The sequence below is a fragment of the Homo sapiens genome, chromosome 7 (assembly GCF_000001405.40).
Source record: "Homo sapiens chromosome 7, GRCh38.p14 Primary Assembly".
NCBI classification, from domain to species: Eukaryota; Metazoa; Chordata; class Mammalia; order Primates; family Hominidae; genus Homo; species Homo sapiens.
This window is the reverse complement of record NC_000007.14, coordinates 39,506,077-39,524,980: the sequence shown is the minus strand read 5'-3', so window position 1 is coordinate 39,524,980 and position 18,904 is coordinate 39,506,077. Positions and strand designations below refer to the sequence as shown.

The 18,904-nt window shown below is 43.1% G+C and overlaps 1 long non-coding RNA gene across 2 annotated transcripts, besides 1 other annotated feature; it reads left to right on the top strand.

The window, feature by feature from the left end:
* The first annotated feature begins 2,478 nt into the window (after positions 1-2,478).
* On the top strand, positions 2,479-17,243 carry LOC105375237 (uncharacterized). 2 transcript variants are annotated; one of them, XR_927183.2, is made up of 4 exons: positions 2,479-2,520; positions 3,245-3,334; positions 15,826-15,977; positions 16,701-17,243. It is a non-coding gene; the product is annotated as an uncharacterized LOC105375237 (long non-coding RNA). The 2 variants fall into 2 exon arrangements; XR_001745174.1 differs by lacking the exons at positions 15,826-15,977; positions 16,701-17,243 and adding exons at positions 10,843-10,883; positions 11,600-11,670.
* Positions 15,767-16,966: an enhancer, noted in NCBI's record as "CDK7 strongly-dependent group 2 enhancer chr7:39547614-39548813 (GRCh37/hg19 assembly coordinates)". NCBI's record gives its function as "activates an origin of replication core promoter dependent on BRD2, BRD4, P300/CBP, MED14 and CDK7 cofactors, with strong dependence on CDK7, by STARR-seq in HCT116 cells {active_cell/tissue: HCT116}" and the evidence as "EXISTENCE:reporter gene assay evidence [ECO:0000049][PMID:35650434]".
* Positions 17,244-18,904: the final 1,661 nt, after the last annotated feature.

Genomic DNA, 18,904 nt, shown 5'->3' with positions numbered 1-18,904 from the left:
GTTCATTTTCACACTGCTATAAAGAACTGTTAGAGACTGGGTAATTTATAAAGAAAAGAGGTTTAATTGACTTATAATTCTGCATGGCCAGGAGGCCTCAGGAAACTTACAATCATGATGGAAAGCGAAGGGGAAACAGAGACCTTCTTCACATGTAGCAGGAAAGAGAGTAGTAGCAAGAGCAGGGGAAAGTGCCTCATAAAACCATCAGATCTTGTGACAACTCACTCAGTACCATGAGAACAGCATGGAGGAAACCATCCCCCTGATCCAATCACTTTCTACCTGGTACTTCCCTCAACACTTGGGGATTATGGAGATTACAATTCAGGATGAGATTTAGGTGGGGACACAGCCAAACCATACCAATAGTTATAAAGTAATATCTCATTGTGGTTTAGATTTGCATTTTTCTGATGATTCGTGATGTTGAGCATCTTTTCACATACCTGTTGGCCACTTATATGGGTTCTTTGGGGGGAAATATCTATAGAAGTCCTTTGCTCATTTTTAAATTGAGTTATTTGGTTTTTTTCTTGAGCTGAAGAAGTCCCATATATATGTATTTCAGATATTAACACTTTATCAAAAACATGGCTTGCCAATATTTTCTCTTATTCTGTGTGTTGCCTTTTCACTCTGTTGATTGTTTCCTTTGCTGTGCAGAAGCTTTTAAATTTGATATAGTCCACTTGTTCTATTTTTCCATTTCTTGCCTGTGCTTTTGGGGTCATATCCAGGAAATCATGGCTAAGGCCAATGTTAGGAAGTGGATCTACCTTTTGAAGGGAGAAGAGTCAAAGCATTTGTGGACACATTTAAAAACTTCCAGATATGTTAATATTCATTTAAAATATCATATTAGTCCATCAGAAGGCAGAATCTGAAGGCAAAGTGTATTAAAATTATGGTTTCATTATTTAATTGCTGTGTAGCATTAGAAAGATCACTTAATTCTTGGTGCCTGTTTTCTTAGCTGTAAAATGGGGATGATGACATACATTTCTGTTATATATAACATCATATAACATCTATTCATCCCTGAAAAAAATGTGTTCTGCCTTAAACAAGTTTTCAAGAAAAAAACAACCCCATCAAAAAGTGGGCAAAGGATATGAACAGACACTACTCAAAAGAAGACATTTACGCAGCCAAAAGACACATGAAAAAATGTTCATCATCACGGGTCATCAGAGAAATGCAAATCAAAACCACAATGAGGTCCCATCTTACACCAGTTAGAATGGCGATCATTAAAAAGTCAGGAAACAACAGATGCTGGAGAGGATGTGGAGAAATAGGAACGCTTTTACACTGTTGGTGGGAGTGTAAATTAGTTCAACTGTTGTGGAAGACAGTGTGGCGATTCCTCAAGGATCTAGAACTAGAAATATCATTTGACCCAGTGATCCCATTACTGGGTATATACCCAAAAGATTATAAATCATGCTGCTATAAAGACACATGCACACATATGTTTATTGCGGCACTGTTCACAATAGCAAAGACTTGGAACCAACCCAAATGCCCATCAATGATGTACTGGATTAAGAAAATGTGGCACATATACACCATAGAATACTATGCAGCCATAAAAAAGGATGAGTTCATGTCCTTTGCAGGGACACGGATGAAGCTGGAAACCATTATTCTGAGCAAACTATCACGAGGACAGAAAACCAAACACTGCATGTTCTCACTCATTGGTGGGAATTGAACAAGAACACTTGGACACAAGGGAGGGGAACATCACACACCAGGGCCTGTCATGTGGTGGGGGGCTGGGGGAGGGATAGCATTAGGAGAAATACCCAATGTAAATGACGAGTTAATGGCTGCAGCAAACTAACATGGCACATGTATACCTATGTAACAAACCTGTACGTTGTGCACATGTACCCTAGAACTTAAAGTATAATTAAAAAAAATTATTATTTTTTAATTATAAAAACATCATGCACTAAAAATAACAGGACCAATGGGAAAAATAGTGCTGGGAAAACCACACGAAACCTGTGGAACTGTGTAATCAGAGTACTCACAGAAACAGTAACACTCCTGATGAAAGTACTTGCACGGTTCTATGCAGGAATTGGCAGCTGGAATCTCAGGCAATCAACCGTTTGCAGCCTTCACCACTGGGCTTGTGCCTCAGTTGAAGGTGCTGGAGGGCATGCTTCTAATCATCACTAATCTACCACTTTAATACGGAAGCTAACTTTTTCACAGCTTTTTCATCAACACTTGTAGCTTTGCCAAATGGATATACATAACAGAAAACTCAGTGGTTCTCTTTTCCTTCCTGCCTCCCTCCCTCCGTCCCCCCCTTTCTCTTTTCTTTTCTTTCTTTCTTCCTCCCCATCCCTTCCCTTCCCTCCCTTCCCTTCCTTCTTTTTTTTTTTGAAACAGGGTTTTACTGTCACCTAGGCTGGAGTGACATCATCAGAGTTCACTGCAGCCTCGATCTGCTGGGCTCAAGCCATCCTCCCACCTAAGCCTCCCGAAGAGCTAAGACCACAGGTGTGCACCACCACCCCAAGCTAATTTTTGTATTTTTAGTAGAGACAGGGTCTTGCCATGTTGGCCAGGCTGGTCTCAAACTCCTGGGCTCAAGTGATCTGCCCGCCTCAGCCTCCCAAAATGCTGGGATTACAGGCATGAGCCACCATGCCTGGCCATGACCTAGTGGTTCTTGAAGTCTTTAAACCAGCCTTCACTTGCACTAAGAAAAAGTACTTCGATGCACTTTTAATTTTTTTTAAGTCTTCATTTATTATCATGCCTCTTCTTCTTTCATTGTGAGAAAACTTGTGAGATCTTTTTTTTTTCTTTTTTTTTTCTGAGATGGAGTTTTGCTCTTGTTGCCCAGGCTGGAGTGCGGTGGCGCAATCTCGGCTCACTACAACCTCCGCCTCCTGGGTTCCGGCAATTCTCCTGCCTCATCCTGCCTCAGCCTCTCAAGTGGCTGGGATTACAGGCGTCCACCAGCACACCTGGCTAATTTTTTTTTTTTAAGTAGAGACGGGGTTTCACCATGTTGGCCAGGCTGGTCTTGAACTCCTGACCTCAGGTGATCCACCCGCCTCAACCTCCCAAAATGCTGGGATTACAGGCATGAGACACTGCGCCTGGCCATGAGATCATTTTAAAACATTAATGTACTGGGAAGAATCAAATATGAACTACAAGATGTGTTATAAACATCACTCCCTTGTTTACTAACCGTGTATGAGCTAATTTGCAGCAAGGATCAGGCATTGTAACAGCCTCATGAAGTTGTGAAGATTAAACGAAGTGACACATGTGAATCATTGAGGACAATGCTGGGCAAATAGTAAGTGCTTAAAAAGTTATTTTGATTATAATCATATTTGTTTAACCAATCCCCTCTTAGTTTTCCTGCTCCATTTGGAACTACACACCACTCTAGAACCTATTTTTCGAGTTTTTCCTATTTTCACAGTGGTTAGCTCAGATCAGAGCCTTCAGTAATTTCTCTCAGGCCTGGAGTTCCTGGGACTGATTATGTGTGAGAATTTACAAATATGGATTCACTTACAAAGTCCATTCCTGTGTAGCATAGTTTGGCTTTAATTTAGAAACATTTCGCTCATTTAATTTTAGGAACAAGTATAATGATAAAACAAATACATCTCGAATAGGTGCAGCCCTTCAGACTATATACTTTTATTTTCAGAATGATAACTTCAAGGCACCTAGATAATTACGAAACAATAAAAAGTTATATTATTTATTGTGTTTTCTCAGGGAAGGATGGGCATTGACTGTCTTATAGGAATATTCTTTTTTTTTGAGACAGAGTCTTGCTCTGTCACCTAGGCTGGAGTGCAGTGGCATGATCTCGGCTCACTGCAACCTCTGCCTCCGGGTGCAAGTGATTCTCCTGCTTCAGCCTCCAGAGTAGCTGGGATTACAGGCGCGCCCTACCACGCCCTGCTAATTTTTGTATTTTTAATAGAGAAGGGGTTTCACCATGTTGGCCAGGCTGGTCTCGAACTCCTGACCTCATGATCCGCCTGCCTTGGCCTCCCAAAGTGCTGGGATTACAGGCGTGAGCCACCATGTCTGGCAGGAATATTCTAAAATATAAAAAGAAACAAACTGGGCATATTGGTTAACCCTGAGTTATGGATAAAGTTCAAGTTGAGAAATCTTGCCTTTCTTCAAGCAGTTTAATTACTCAAGGTAGAATCTCTTTAATAAGTAACACTATATTTATTAGATTTTCAAGGAAATATTACTTGTGCCGCATAAACGGCACTTCATTGATATTTTGAAAAAGCTACTATATCTTAAACACTATAAATTTTCCTAAATTCCCCTCTTTTGAATTCTTTTGGTAACAACAGCCATGACAATAGAGATAACTAAGATTGCTCTCATGTTTGCTGTGTGCCAAGGCCCTGTGATTCACTAAATGAACTCAATGCTAAAATTGTCCTTTAATCTGGACTTTGCCTACGTATGTGAACTTGGCACTGTGTTAAAATCAAACATTTGTGTCGTTAGGACTTTTTTTTTTTTTTTTTTTTGAGACAAAGTCTTGCTCTGTCACCCAGGCTGGAGTGCAGCGGCATGATCTCGGCTCACTGCAACCTCTGCCTTCTGGGTTCAAGTAATTCTCCTGCCTCAGCCTCCTGAATAGCTGGGATTACAGGCGCGCGCCACCACACCCGGCTAATTTTTGTATTTTTAGTAGAGACAGGGTTTCACCATGTTGGTCAAGCTGGTCTCGAACTCCTGACCCCTCACAAAGTGCTGGGATTACAAGCGTGAGCCACCGCGCCCGGCCAGAACTTTTGAAAGGAAATTTACAAAGGTAGTTATTGGATAAAAGCGTGATAGAGTAGTTAGCACCAGGTGGCGCTAAAGGACTGAAATTGGAAACGGCTACGGTATTTGGTCCTCTTACCTGAGGGCCGGGGAAGGGCGATGCTCCTGGTTTAATGGCTGTGTTACAGGAAGGAAGGACAAGCATTTGCCTTCCTATGCCCTGTTACGAACAGATGCTAGGATTGCGCCTGTCACATTGTCTAGTTTCCCTCCCTGGAAAGTTGAACTCCCTAAAGGTAGACACAGTAACCTTACTGTGGTCTCAAGTGAACAAAAGGCCCCATAGTTTTTCTAAAGAAAAGTGAAAACAAATATCACATGAAATTGCTTTTTGGAATGCGTTTAGTCTTGCTCTCACCTTTGTAGGTATCCAGGAATGGAGACTGGACAAAGGTAGCCAAACGAGAAAACATCTCCCAGAATTCCTTGCCTCGGGAGTAGACAGTGCAAAATCCTTCCCACCAGTTTGGGGTTTATTATTTAATGCACTTCCCCTTTCCTAGACATTTCCAATGTGCTCGTAAGTGTTTTTCTCTCTGGCTGTTACCAGGAGGATAAAATCTCAGAATGGAGACCATAGATATAAGAATAAAAATAAAATCCTTCCACCGGCTTTCTAAGGGGATAGCAGGAGAAAGAACAGGAAGTGAAGTAAAAAGCCTCGCTGCAAGTAAACGTAAAACCCCGGGAGCCTGGGAAACAGAAGCTGCCAAATTAAAGAATGGCAACAGTTCCTGCAAGGAGTCAGGCACAGGGGAGGCTCCTTCCTTGGGCAGAGTTACTGGGACATTGAGAGGGAGGCTTTATGGAAAGCGACTTTCGGAGGTAGATTGAGAAAGAAAAGATGTTTAAAAAAGTGCCTGAGATTTCTACCATCAGCTCTTTCTTTTCTGAAAGTCAAGTCTACTAAAAAACCAGACCAATAGCTAAGTATCTTGCTCAATTTACATAAATCTCTTGCAATACGCATCACTACGGGCCATTTGTGATACAAGGTTTGCGCCAAGTAATTCACTTATGTCAGCAATCCACCAGCCAGTCTAACCCAGTCTGACCCAGGCATCCACATAGAGCGAGATGTTGCTGCCATTCCCTGTTTATGGAATTTTTCTGCTGTCTTAGGGAGGCTGATCATGGAAACTCCTGAGTGCAGTATTCCAAGTACAGTAGCACCAGGAATTGCATTGTGGGCTTAGAATGAAGCAATTTATCCCTTCTGTCCCCACTCCATTCCCTCCTTATTTCAAGGACCTCCATGAGACAAGGGAGAGAAGAAGGCGGTGGGAATGGCTAAGTGTCCCAATGTCTCTGGCTTAGTTCTAAGCATTTTGCTTCACGTAACCTGGAGATCAGGTCGTTCCTTGGCCAACCGGGAGAGGCTTTCTCCTCCTAGGCCTTCTGTGTTTGTTTCATTTATTTCAACATTCTCATGTGAAACCATTAAGATATTTTGCTGCTAAATGGAATTCATTCAGCCTGTAAGAACTGTAAGATCAAAGAAGGGGTATTATTAGTTTTTCAACAGTTGATCCTAAGGTTGGAAATGTGGTGATGAGGCTGGGTGTAATGGCTCATGCCTGTAATCTCAGTGCTTTGGGAGGCTGAGGTGGGAGAATCACTTGAGGCCAGGAGTAACGAACATAGTGAGACTCTGTCTCTCAAAAGAAAAAATATGCAAAAATTATCTGGACATGGTGGCACACAGCTGTATTCCTAGCTACTCAGGAGGTTGAGGCAGGAAAATCGCTTGAGTCTAGGAGTTTGAGGCTGCAGCGAGCTATGACCATGTCACTGCACTCTGGCCTAAGTGACAAAGCGAGACCCTGTCTGAGGGAAAAAAAAAAAGTGTTAAAGAATATCTCTTCTTCCCACAGATAGCCAGTGATTCTACAGGAAAACATACTCCACCTTTCTAGGTTTTCATTTATTCAAGCCCTCAAAAGGATTCTATAAACATGGGCTCATCTAGACTGAAGTATAAATAGGTTTAAGATGGGAAAATCACATGGAAAAATGAACATGGTATTAGGAGACCAAACGTGAGTCTTGGTGTCGCCGCTGATGTGCTGTGGTGTAAACGGTTTGGGTGTCAGTTTCTCAGCAGCAAAATGAATGTAATGCAAGGCAGATGTTGCCCCCACCTTAGTCAGCACTGGGAAAGAGGGATCACTTGCCTATATTGACAGCCCCTTACTTACTGTCCTCAGATCCAGCCTTTCTAATGGACAGGGGACTTTGCATTCACCATGTGGTATGTGTACTTCTACTCATTGGAACTGAGCTTGCAAGCTCTTCCCTTTGGGTCTGGAGAGCCCCTGGCACTCTTTGTTTATTATGAGGAGCAGAATGACTGGACAACACCAGCTCAGTTCCAATGAGTAGAAGTACACATACCACACGGTGAATGCACCGTAGGCGAAGCCGTTTCCCTCATGGTGGTCGTGTCTGCTAGGTTATTATTTTAGCAGCCAGTCCCTTCACACTTTTGCACAATGGTTCCCTTTGAGGCAACTTGCTATTAGATGGTTACAAAGAGACAGCATCACACTAGGGTGGCAGGTCCAGAAAAGCACTCTGAGTATGTCGTCCTGAAGTGGTTGTGATCAGCTGCCCTCTCTAAGTCTATTGGGTTAAATAGCCAGGGTGAGGTAGCATAGGCACTCCGGAAGAGGTGAGGTGATCTGGACTTTGTGTCGTGTCTTGGCAAAGCTGCTGCAGACAGTGTTGAAAGGCATGTCTTTTATTCTCCTTTCAAAGGCAACTTCCTTCTGTGTCAGTCACCTCTCTGACAAGGGCCTTGATCTTTGTGGGCACTTCTCCCAGAGTAGATTTTGGGAAAGATTTTGAGTGGCACCAACCCTTATGAATTAATATTGTTCTATAGACTACCACCATCTGGGAGGAGATCTGGGGCTGGAAATTGGGCAGGGGCATCCCAAGGACCCCCAGGAACTCATGCCTCACTTCTGTCTGCACAGAGTCCTGTAGAGTGGAAGCAGTTACTGTTCTCAGGGGATGGCACAGGTGGCACCATCCATGTGGGATTAAAGGGTTCTTAGAAAACATCGAAGACATTAAAGGGATCACTACAATTTAAAATGGCATTTTGATAGTTTGATAGATATATTCTCTGGTTCTGTTAATAACTGTAAAGTCTTAAACATAATGTGCTATTTAAAAATTGCCACATTCAAGCTGTTGTCTGTGTGTGTGTGTGTGTGCATGTGTGTGAGCGAGAGCAGGCTTGCACATGCACGCACGTGCTTAATGCTCACTTAGTATTGTCAAGCTGTTTGTATTTTAATGAATGTATTTGTAATGGCAAGGGACATATTACAGATGCATTTTTCCTTCAGTTACCAGAAGCTTTTAAGGAGTCAGAAAATTTGAACTAATAGAGGTAATGTTTTATGTAGTCCCTCAGTGCATCTGTTGAACATGTAGTCAAAGGAGTTCATTGAAATAAATGCTGCGGTTGAATTTTTAACAGCGGCTGCATAAATATGCAGCCATCTATAACCTTTATGCCCGTGGGAGCCAGGAAAATGATCTGTATAATTAACCCCCTGATTGATCTGGTCTTTCAGCTGTCGGGGGGGAGGGCTGAATTCCCACACACAGCAGGATGTACCCATAAACTCAAGGTGGCTGAATATTTTTTGGGGGAGAAGTTTCTTTGGAAGCACTAAGTGAGCATTCATTTGACCGATCTTTAAATGTTTCTGTCTCCCTCAGTTTCTCAGTCTCTGCTGAAGGGTTGGGAAGAATGGGGAAATCATCTGGGATCTCTGATTGGTCACTCGAATTCAGTAGGTGTGGCAGGTAGAGTTCTGAGATGGCCCCCACGATTCCTACCCCCTGGTGTACACACCCAGTGTGGTCTCCTCTCCTGAGGGTTAGCAGGGCCTGGGAATGGGATGGGACGTCACTTTCTTGATTAGGTTATATGACAAAGGTGATAAGAGCATCAGCATTATGTTAAGTTACGTTACATTACTTTATGGCTCCATCTTAGCAGAGTGGAGAGATTCAGAGCAGGAAAAACTTCCTACTGGCCTTGAAGGAGCAAATGGCCAGATTATGAAGAAGACCACGTGACAGGGAGTGGCAGGTGGCCGCTAGGAGCTGAGAATAGGCCCTGGCTGCCAGTCAGCAAGAAAGTGAGGACCTCAGTCCTATAACCACAAGGAGCTAAGTTTTTCCCATGGCCAGGGAATATGGAACCTGAAGCCTCTGGGGAGATTGCAGCCCTACCTTGATTTCAGCCTGAGGACATCCCAAGTAGAGGATCCAGTAACTGTATCCTGACTCCTGATCCATGGAAACTGTGAGATAATGCATGTGCGTGTTTCGTGGTAACCTATGCAGAGATAAAAAACTGAAGCAGTAGGTCTGGGGTGGGACCTTAGAATTTGTGTTTGTAATAAATCTTCAAGTGAGGCTGAGCTGCTAGTTCGGGGCCACACTTTGAGAACTGCTATTATAGTTTAACTTCCCCTGGCAGTTGATTTTATCTGTGATATCATAAATGAACATGCATTGTATGATTCTGGAATGTAACAAACGTTAACCAAAAGGGATTTAGCAATATGTTTTAAGCCACAGCTAAATATAAGCCATATGGTTTAAGCCTTTAAAAATTATTTTAAATGTGGTGAACAAAATTAAATACAATATATAATATTAGAAAAAGCAATTAGAGGCCAGGCTTGGTGGCTCATGCCTGTAATCCTAGCACTTTGGGAGGCTGAGGTGGATGGATTGCTTGAGCCCAGGAGTCCAAGACCAGCCTGGGCACCACAGTGAGATCCTCTCTCTACTTCTTGTGAAAAAGTGTGAAAAAAAAAAAAAAAAGAAAAAGCAATTGGAATCAGGGCTTACAAAATGAGAACAGGAAAATAACAAAGTGAGGTGTGAAGCTAGCATGCAAAATGCAAAAATCACTCTTAGTTCTCACCTACGTAAGCAAAAGAGACTTAATGATTAATTGCCATTTTCTTTGTGAGAATCAAACCCCATTTATACTGCTTATGAATAAACTTTATATTGTAAACATACCTTGATTAAAAATTAAGTGATGATTTAGAACACCACATAAACTTTCTAATTTCCACCGTGATAGAGTGAGAAAGATGGGACACCCTTTTGTGATTATCCAAAATATTGGCAAATTCTCTGGCATTGCTGAATATATATGGGTAATAACAGCACTTCATTTGTAGGTAGAAGAATGGGTCCTGTGCCTCTAATTCTGTGCAACTATCTTCAACAATTTTTCCAACTCTTTTTGTGATCAAATTCTGTCTGTCTCCCTCTCTCCCCACTCTCTCTCCCTTCATCCTTACTTGTTTTTGTTGAGTAATTTTTGAAGTTAAAACATGCAGCTCCATTGAGATTTTCCTAGCAGAACGAAACAACTAGAGCTTTGCTTAATCCTGAGGCATTTTACTTCTCTCTTAGTAATCTTAGTCCCCTCTGGTATGATATGGGCTTACTGTTGTGACTCTATTAGCTGAACCATCTGGATTGTTGTTTTTTTTAAATTTAATACTGTACCTATCATCACCCAAATATGAAAGTTCTGCTCTCTCCAGGCACCTCCATATCCGTATAAGGTATTTTATGTAGCCATGCCAGGGGGATCCAAGGAAAAAGATATGAAGCTTGATTTTGAAGCTATTTCTGAATGTTGCTTGGTCTAATGACTACCCTGCTCAGGTCTTTTGGAATAGAAAGTGTGAGTATGAGTGTGAGTGTGAGTGTGAGTGTGGTGGGTGGGACTGGGGCAGCTGTGAAGTGAAGGGTAGTCATAATCACTTGCAATGGGAGAGAGGGCCCAAGCCAGCACTGTGGAGTTGTTTCTACTGCTGGGATATATATTGCATTCTTTTATTCGGAGCCAGAGGCAGGTACCCGACTAGGATATTTGTTCAGCCCTCTTGTAATGGTGGCTTTATTTTTATAACTCTTTTTTTTTTCTTTTTGGAGATGCAGAGATTCTTTTCTGCAGCTCAGACACCAGCCAGAAGGTAAGCATCCCTGGACCTTTAATTCCATGGTGGCACCCTTGCTAGATGCTGTTTCATTAGCAAATGAGACTTTGCATGCGCCTGCAGTCTTTTCAGAGCCACATATCTCAGTCTGGGTGTTAAATTAGTAATTAAATATTTTATTCTTCTGGGTAAGATTGGGAAATAAGAAGTATGATGTTTTTTATTATTTTATTATTTTTATTATTTATTATTATTATTTATAATTTCCTTCTGTTTTAACTTTCACTATTCTCCCTCATTAGCAAAGCTTTTTTTATTTTGTTTTCTTCTTCTTCTTTTTTTTTTTTTTGTGGGGGTGGTGGGGACAGAGTCTTACTGTTTCCCAGGCTGGAGTGCAGTGAGTGGCGCGATCTCGGCTCACTGTCACTTCTGCCTCCCAGGTTCAAGTGATTCTCATGCCTCAGCCTCCCGAGTAGCTGGGATTACAGGCACGCACCCCACGACAGGCTAATTTTTTGTATTTTTAGCAGACAGAGTTTTGCTATGTTCGCCAGGTTGGTCTCCAACTTCTGTCCCCAAGTGATCCGCTCGGCTCGGCCTCCCAAAGTGCTGGGATTACAGGTGTGAGCCACTGTACCTGGCCTCATTAGCAAAGCTTTCAAACAAATAAAAACTTTGTGTTTGGGACAACTCTTAGGGGCTGGGGAATCACAGATAAACTTGACCGACTTGTGTATGATTATTCTGTGTAGAACCTGTAAGGTGGTTGGAGCGCTTGTGATGCTCTCTGTTTTGTGGATTAGAAGATGGAGGTACAGAGGCTTGTCATTTTCCCAGGTTAGTGATGACGACATTGGTCTACATTGCTAGTCTTCAGCTGTGCAGCCACCTTAGACAAAATTATAACCCAAATACTGTATTTCTGCTTTTCCTTGTGAATGTCAGTATAAGCATACTAGGTGAAAGACTTACCCTAATATTTATGGCTTAAGAATCTGAATTGCATTTCCACTCTGAAGCAATTGTGGGCCCTTAATAGTCATGCTCTTTCACAGTGAAATATTTCTGGAAAGTCTATATTCAAATTGTAAAATATAGGCCAGGTATAGTGGCTCACACCTATAATCTCAGCACTTTGGGAGGCCATGGCCAGAGGACTGCTGGAGTGGAGTTGGAGGTTGCAGTGAGCTATGATTGCACCACTGCACTCCAGCCTGGGCAACAGAACAAGAACCTGCCTCAAACAAAAACAAAAATTAAAAATATTGTGTCCCGGCCAGGCACGGTGGCTCATGCCTGTAATCCTAGCACTTTGGGAGGCTGAGGCAGGCAGATCACGAAATCAGGAGTTCGAGACCAGCCTGACCAAAATGGTGAAACCCGTCTTTACTAAAAATACAAACATTAGCCAGGTATGGTGGCACGCGCCTGTAATCCCAGCTACTCAGGAGGCTGAGGCAGGAGAATCACTTGAACCCAGGAGGCGGAGGTTGCAGTGAGCGGAGATCACGCCACTGCACTCCAGCCTGGGTGACAGAGGGAGACTCCTTCTCAAGAAAAAAAAAGAAAATATTGTGTCCCAAGAAATTTATTTATTAAACAATGGTGTTTTGGGTTTTTGTTGTTGTGGTGGTGGTTTTGTTGTTGTGGTGGTGGTGGTGTGAGCAGTGGTGCAATCTCAGCTCACTGCAACCTCCAGCTCCTGGTTTCAAGCAATTCTTGTACTTCAGCCTCCAGAGTAGCTGGGACTACAGGCACCCACCACCATAACTGCTATTTTTTTTTTTTTGTATTTTTAGTAGAGATGGGGTTTTGCCATGTTGGCCAGGCTGGTCTCAAACACCTGACCTCCAGTGATCCACCTGCCTCCCCAAAGTGCTGGGATTACAGGTGTGAACCACTGCGCTGGCCAACAATGGTGCTTTGAAGGCAAGTAGTGTTAGGTCTATAGATGGCGGTTAATAGAGATTGTAAGCTCTACTGATAAGTTTTGGGTTCTGATAAGCCCAACTCATCTAATGGATGGAGACACATTCTCTGTTAGAGGGACTTCTCTGATAATCTCTCTTGTCAGCACTGCTCCAGGCTTGCCAGGTTGTTACCACTGGAAACATAGAATTGGCTGGTGAAGAAGGTTGGGGTGGGATATCGGAGTTGTGAGTTGCCTTTGGAGTGTAGCTCTGAGGTTTGGAATGAATTCATTAATTAGTCTTATAAATGGCCTGTTTATCCATGGGCACATTCTATTTTTAACCTTCAGCCCAGTGTGAAATGATTTTGGAACATTTATCCAGGAACAGCTTTAAGAGCTTTGCTATAAGGAGACTGCCTGTGGCTTGGCGGTGGTTCGGCCTGGAGACCAGCACTGTCTAGAATACTTCTGAGCTCCTTCTGAATGAGTATTTGACTACATGGATCGAAACAAGCCAGCTCAGTGGCTCCTATGCAGGGATGGAGATGATCCAGGCTGGACCAATCAGCTGGGAACTAAGGGGAAAGGAAAGGTTATATCCAGGAAAACAACTTGGAAACAGGTAGGGAGATGTAACTTCATGAAACCAGCCAGAGATTTCAGCTCTTAGCCCATGCTGGCATTGAATAGGTGTGAGGGAGAGACTATGTATGAGAAGCGACATCTCAATTTAATCTCTCCAGGGCAAGGTTTCCTGAATTGTGTTGTGCCAAACATTAGAGTTTCTCAAGCTATTAAGACTGTTCCAAGATCAAGTAAGCTTGACAAACTCTCTATATGATGTTCCTGTTTGGAAATCAAAATTCTTCTGAATAGAAATCTAATTACTTTGCTTAACTGACCATTTACTTCACTAAGTTGACCAAGAAAATACCTTTAGCTCTTAGTTAGCCTGCATACCAAGAAGATGTATGGATGTTCGATGGGTGACTCATCCTGTAATCTTGTGTTTTACTTCTCCTTGTCTCTAGATGAGTCTGGTGATAATAGGAGCATGGGCTATTGATATGGTTTGGCTCTGTGTCCCCATCCAAATCTTATCTTGAATTGTTATCCCCATGTGTCGAAGGAGGGGCCTGGTGGGAAGTGATTGGATCACAGGGCAGATTTCCCCCTTGCTGTTCTTGTAATGGTGAGTGAGACCACTCACTCACAAGATTTCACAAGATCTGCTGGTTTTAAAGTGTGGTACTTCCCCCTTTGCCCACGCTCTCTCTCCTGCCACCATGAAAGATGTGCTTTCTTTCTCCTTCATCTTCCACCACAACTGTAAGTTTCCTGAGGCTTCCCCAGTCATGTGGAACTGTGAGTCAATTAAACCTCATTTTCTTTTTAAATAACCCAGTCTCAGTTCTTTATAGCAGTGTGAAAATGGACTAATACAGCTATGTTACATTTTTGCAAGAGCCAAATACATTAATGGTGGCAGTCACTGTTCTCTCTTTGCCCTTTCATGTTTTTGTTTTTTTTTTAAATTTCTTTTTATTATTATACTTTAAATTCTAGGGTACATGTGCACAACGTGCAGGTTTGTTACATATGTATACATGTGCCATGTTGGTGTGCTGCACCCATTAACTCGTCATTTAACATTAGGTATATCTCCTAACGCTACCCCCCCCCACCTCCCCCACAACAGGCCCCGGTGTGTGATGTCCCCCTTCCTGTGTCCAGGTGTTCTCATCGTTCAATTCCCACCTATGAGTGAGAACACGCTATGTTTGTTTTTTTGTCCTTGTGATAGTTTACTGAGAATGATGGTTTTCAGCTTCATCCATTAAATAAGATCCAATGAATCTTATTTATAGTGTTTGTTTTTCTAAAACAATGATTACTGGTTAATTTTTTATTAGTTGGGGAATTTCAAATTAATGATACTGTGATGCTTCTGTCAACTGATAGATGTTCCACTTTTGTCACTAAATATTCAGTACTGTGGCAGGGCATGTTAGTTTAAGGTGCTTTGAGAGGCAGATGCGAAGTAAGCACTAAAAGTGTAATGACTTATCAGGAGGAAACACCTGTGTGAGGGAAAACAGAAGGCTCTGAATAAAGCCGGGAGAACCATCAGACCACAAAGCAAGTCTGATCCTGTGTGAAGAAGGGAAGGAAAGGAGGAAGGGAGGGTGAAAATGTTCAGCACAGTTGTTTGGGTGTCTTTGAGGCAAAGTTGTTTGTTAGGGGAGCTCCATGTCTCCCAGGAACAGGCCTACCTTAGTATTTCTGTTGCATGGAGTTGTTGGCTATAGCAAGCCCATAGGAAGTATGACTTTGGCCATAGCCTTGAAGTCATGAAGGATTTCAGAGCACAGCAGCTGGGGTCCTTATGGTTAAGTAAGCTCCCTATATGAAGATCTGTGAGGTATAACTGATGCCTGAGTTGTCTTCACCAATGGGTGACTCTTCTAGTGGAGCAGGCTTGCTAGAATACTATTTGTAGGAGGGACTAAAGAGCCTCTTAAGGAAGAACTCATCAAAGGAAGGGATGGTCCGGCCCAATGAGCCAGACACAGACACACTCGTGATGGGGGAGCAGTTCTGAGTAGGGCTTCCTACCTAGCCCTCAGCTCCGCCTCCTGGCCCAGTCCCAGGGAGGAACGAGGAGACCAGAAAGCCACAAGTAACAAACAAAAGAGCTGATTAATCTAAAATTCCTGGAAGACACAAGCAGCACCATTTTCATATTCTTCTTCTTTTTTTTGAGATGGAGTCTCACTCTGTCATTCAGGCCATAGCACAGTGGCGCAATCTCAGCTCACTGCAACCTCCGCCTCCCAGGTTTAAGCAATGCTCCTGCCTCAGCCTCCTGAGTAGAATACCTGGAACTACAGGTGTGCACCACCATGCCTGGCTGATTTTTGTATTTTTAGTAGAGACAGGGTTTCGCCATGTTGGCCAGGCTGGTCTCGAACTCCTGACCTCAGGTGATCTGACCGTGTCTGCCTCCCAAACTGCTGGGATTATAGGTGTGAGCCACCATGACTGGCCTCATATTCTTTCTAATAGAGACAACACAAAAAGAGAGAGAAAGATGCTGTATTCTTCCTACCTGTGTCCCAGAATCCTGAACAGCCGCCGGTGTGCAGGGCCTGGTGGGAAGTGACGTTGCTGCAGAAGCTGCAGTGCTGACGAGGAGGGCAGCATCCCTCAGAGAGAAGGTAGAGGGAGTCTGTGAGAGAGACGGCAAGGGGGCTGGGGGGTGGGGGTGCAGTTCGGGGTGGTGTGGTAACTGCCTCATAATAGGACTTCTTGATGGGCGACATGTGATATTCCCTCTCAGAGATAATTGTGGCTGGAGGGCGAGAGTTCTGAGGGGCCAGTGGGGTAAATGCTTTTATTTAGAATTAAAATCAGTTTAGGGTATTGCTCAAGGACTCTGTATTATCAGGTTGGGAGAAGTTATGTCACAATAACAAATAACCCCCAAACACAGTGGTTAAAACAACAAAGGCTTATTTCTGGTTCACATTACTTCCATGGTGGGTTGGCTAAGGGCTTTGTTCCACTTCATTCCCTTCTTCACATCAGGACCCAGTCCAATAGAGCAGACACTTTCTGGAACATTGCTGATGACCTGGCAGAGGGGAAAGAGAAAGAACCTGAGGAAGCAGAATTCGACTGTAAAACTTTTACCTGGAAATGACACATGTTGCACATCATTGGCCCTAACAAGTTACATGGTGGCACCTGAGTTGAGTGGGGTGGGTAGTTTAGTCCCCCTGTAGGGTGCGGCAGAGAACATTGGTAAAGAGTAGTAAGGTCTACTCCAGCCCCTCCTTTGCGGGCTCCACCTCAGCTTCCGGGCATTGACAGGAGGAGGTGAAAGAGGGAAGTGGTGCATGCTCAGCCCTCTAACCATGTGGCGTCCTTTGCTTCCTCAGGACACCACAGAGAGTCCCTACCAGCCAGGAGGCTCTCACCAGATGCGCCCCCTTGACCTTGGACCTCCTAGCTTCAAAAACTGTCATACAAGACACTCTGTCTTGCTCTCTTGAATTGCCTGCTCTGGTGGAAGCCAGCCAGCTTCTGCCATGTCATGAGAACACTCATGCAGCCCTGGGAAGAGTCCACGTGGTGAGGAACTGAGGCCTCCTGCCAACAGCCAAGTGAAAGCACCATCCTGGAAGAGGACCCTCCAGCCCTCATTAAGTCTGTCAAGCCTTGAGATGAATGAACCAACACTATGAATGTAACTTCACGAGAGGCTCTGAGCCAGAACCACTCAGCTAAGCCACAGTAACTGTGAAATAATCATGTATTACTGTTTTAGGCCAGCAAGTTTTGAGAGAATTTATTATGTGGTAATAGATAACTAATACAGTTGTGCTTGTTATGTTTGGTACTTAATCATTTTTACCACCACCACATCAGCACACTGTAGTAGAAAACAAATTGTATGCATTAAACCGTTTCTTTTTCCCTGATGAATTAGGCTGGCTGTCAAGGGGAAAAGTGACCATCAGAGATTTTTAAATGATCCGAATGATTCCATTAAACATCACTTAGTAGTCTGCTAGGACTGCCATAACAAAATAGCACATACTGGGTGGCTTAAACAACAGAACTTCATGTTCTCACAATTCTGGAAGCTGCAAGTTCAAGATCAAGGCATCAGCAGGGTTGGTTTCTTCTGTGGCCCTGGTTTGCAGATGGCCATCTTGCTATGTTCTTACATGATCTTTCCTCTGTGTGTGTCTGTGTCCTAATCTCCAGTACACCAGCCATATTGGATTAGGGCCTACCCATATGACCTCATTTTACCTTAATTGCCCCTTTAAAGGCCCTATCTATAAATCTATAAATACAGTAACATTCTGAGGTTACTGGGGGCTAGGACTTCAACACGTAAATTTTTGGGGCCACAATTTAGCCAAGAACACAGCACTACCACATTTCCTTCTCTCCCTCCCTTCCTTTCTCCCTTTCTCTTTTCTTTTTTCTTTTCCTTTCCTTTCTTTTCTTTTTCCTCTTTTCTTTTCTCTCTCTTTCTTTTCTTCCTTCTTTCTTTTTCTTTCTTTCTTTCTTTCTTTCTTTCTTTCTTTCTTTCTTTCTTTCTTTCTTTCTTTCTTTCTCTCTTTCTCTCTCTTTCCTTCCCTCCCTTCCTTCCTCTCTTCTCTCTCTCTCTCTTTCTCTCTTTCCTTCTTTCTGAAGGAGTTTTGCTCTTGTTGCCCAGGCTGGAGTGCAATGGCACGATCTTGGCTCGCTGCAACCTTTGCCTCCCAGGTTCAAGTGATTCTCTTGCCTCAGCCTCCATAGTAGCTGGGACTACAGGCGTGCACCACCACATTTGGTTAATATTTTTGTATTTTTAGTAGAGGCAGGGTTTCACCATGTAGGTCAGGCTGGTCTCGAACTCCTGACCTCAAGTGATCCACCCACCTCGTCTCCCAAAGTGCTGAGATTACAGGTGTGAGCCACTGCTCCCAGCCTATCATTTCATGCAGAGCATTCAACTGGAAAAACCCAGTAATATATCTTATATTATAGACTGTCCTAATTGTTCACCTAAAGGTCTGAACACCTTTTTTATTTAATCATATTAAACCAGGTTCTCTTTAGAAGACTAAAAAAAAGAAGAAGGCAGTTCTACCAAATTGTTTCAGGCATCTCTCTCCTCTTCTGCTATGTGAGTATAATCATGCTAAGCTTATTTCTACTTTAAGCACATTACCCTAGCTGTTCCTTTTTCCTAGGGAACTTTTCTCCCAGATATTTGCAAGACTAGCCTTCTCCTGTCACGTAGATGTCAGCTTTCAAATCCCGTCCTCAGAAATGTCTTTCCTGTTTCTAATCTGCAGTGGCCTTGTCCCCCCACTCCCAGCTCTCTTGTTTCACCATCTTCTGTTTTCTTTGTGGCACCATGTCTATCAGAAAACATATTCTATCTGATAATTCTGGTTTACTGCTTATGTATTTATTGTCTGTGTTCCTTCACTAGAACACAAGTTTTGTATTTATCACTCTAGGCTTTTATTGTCAACCATGTTCGCAGGCTTTAGTGATAGGGTAGGTGGATTGGAGACGGGGAAGGAAAAGGGGAGGGGAACAAAAACCAAAACTGCCTGGACAGGGCAGATGCCAAGAA